Below are 1203 nucleotides of genomic sequence, written 5' to 3' on the forward strand. Positions count from 1 at the left end.
CCCTAGCGCTTCAGATTCATACTCTCTATAGCTTACCTGTCATTTACATTATATCTAACAGGCAACTCAAACTTTCACAGCCCTGAACATCATGTTCAACTTTTCTCCTTCAAATCTGCTTTTCCCTTCAGTCTTCCTCATACTCAGAATATGGCACCACCATCAGCTCTTTTGCTCATATCAAATCGAAGACTCATTCTCCCACATCAAATTCTTCTGCACGTCCTGCAGATTCTACCTCTACTTTTCTCCATTTGCACTTACATAGCCCACTCCAAACCACGACTCCTCTTGTTTAACTACTCTGAGAGCCTCCTAACAAGTCTCCCAGCTGCCTCTCTGGCCTTCCACATAAATCCACTATCTGCCCAGAAGCACTGTGTTCATTTTTCAAATATAACTCAGATCAGGTTACTCCTCTCCTTAAAACCCACAGATATTCTCCCACTGTATTTAAATTAAACTCAAACTACTTATTATGGTTCACAAAGCCACGTAAGATCTGGCTTCGCCAACGTTGCTAGCTTCATTCCAATCAATTCTTTTCTGCCCATTATCTCCAGCCACACTGAGCATCTGCCTGGGTCTCAGATATTCAGGCTTATTTCTGGTTTTGGGCCTTTGCCCAGCTTTTCCCCCTTCTGGAAACATGTTCTGTCTGATCATACAGTGGTTGGCTCTTTTATCTCTGTTTCCAATTCAAATGTCACCTCCACAGAGGCTTCCCAATGGCCCAATTTAAACTAGTTCTATCATTTCACTCCTTTAAATTCTCTACACCGAGCTGTTTATAACCTGATACTGGTTTTTATTGTCTGCCCGCTATTTCTGACAGCAGCAACAACACATACACATGCATGTATGCACACATGAATGCCTAAAAAAGGAAAATTCCATGATAATGAGAATATTGTCTCTTTTTTGTTGTTGTTCTTGCTCTGACTCCAACACTTAGTTTGCAGTGGCCAATGAAAGATATTCATTGAATTAATGATTATATTAAATTGAAGTGGCTGTTATTAATGGTCCTTCTTAAAGCCAAGGATCAGTTTGTATCTTTTACAGCTCTTACCATATTTTATGATAGGACTAGGTTTGGCCCAGTTAACTACATCAGTTTTGGGAAGACAGAAGGGTGCAAAAGGAGAAACAATCTATTTTCAGAAGCTGAGCAGCCATCTAGATTGCTACACAGAATTCAGC

At 40.4% G+C, this 1203-nt stretch overlaps 1 annotated feature.

Annotated features, from left to right (window-relative positions):
* Positions 437-637: a silencer, noted in NCBI's record as "peak1439 fragment used in MPRA reporter construct". NCBI's record gives its function as "represses an SCP1 promoter by STARR-seq MPRAs in K562 erythroleukemia cells {active_cell/tissue: K562}" and the evidence as "EXISTENCE:reporter gene assay evidence [ECO:0000049][PMID:32103011]".

Source organism: Homo sapiens, chromosome 11 (assembly GCF_000001405.40).
Source record: "Homo sapiens chromosome 11, GRCh38.p14 Primary Assembly".
In the NCBI taxonomy this organism is placed as follows: Eukaryota; Metazoa; Chordata; class Mammalia; order Primates; family Hominidae; genus Homo; species Homo sapiens.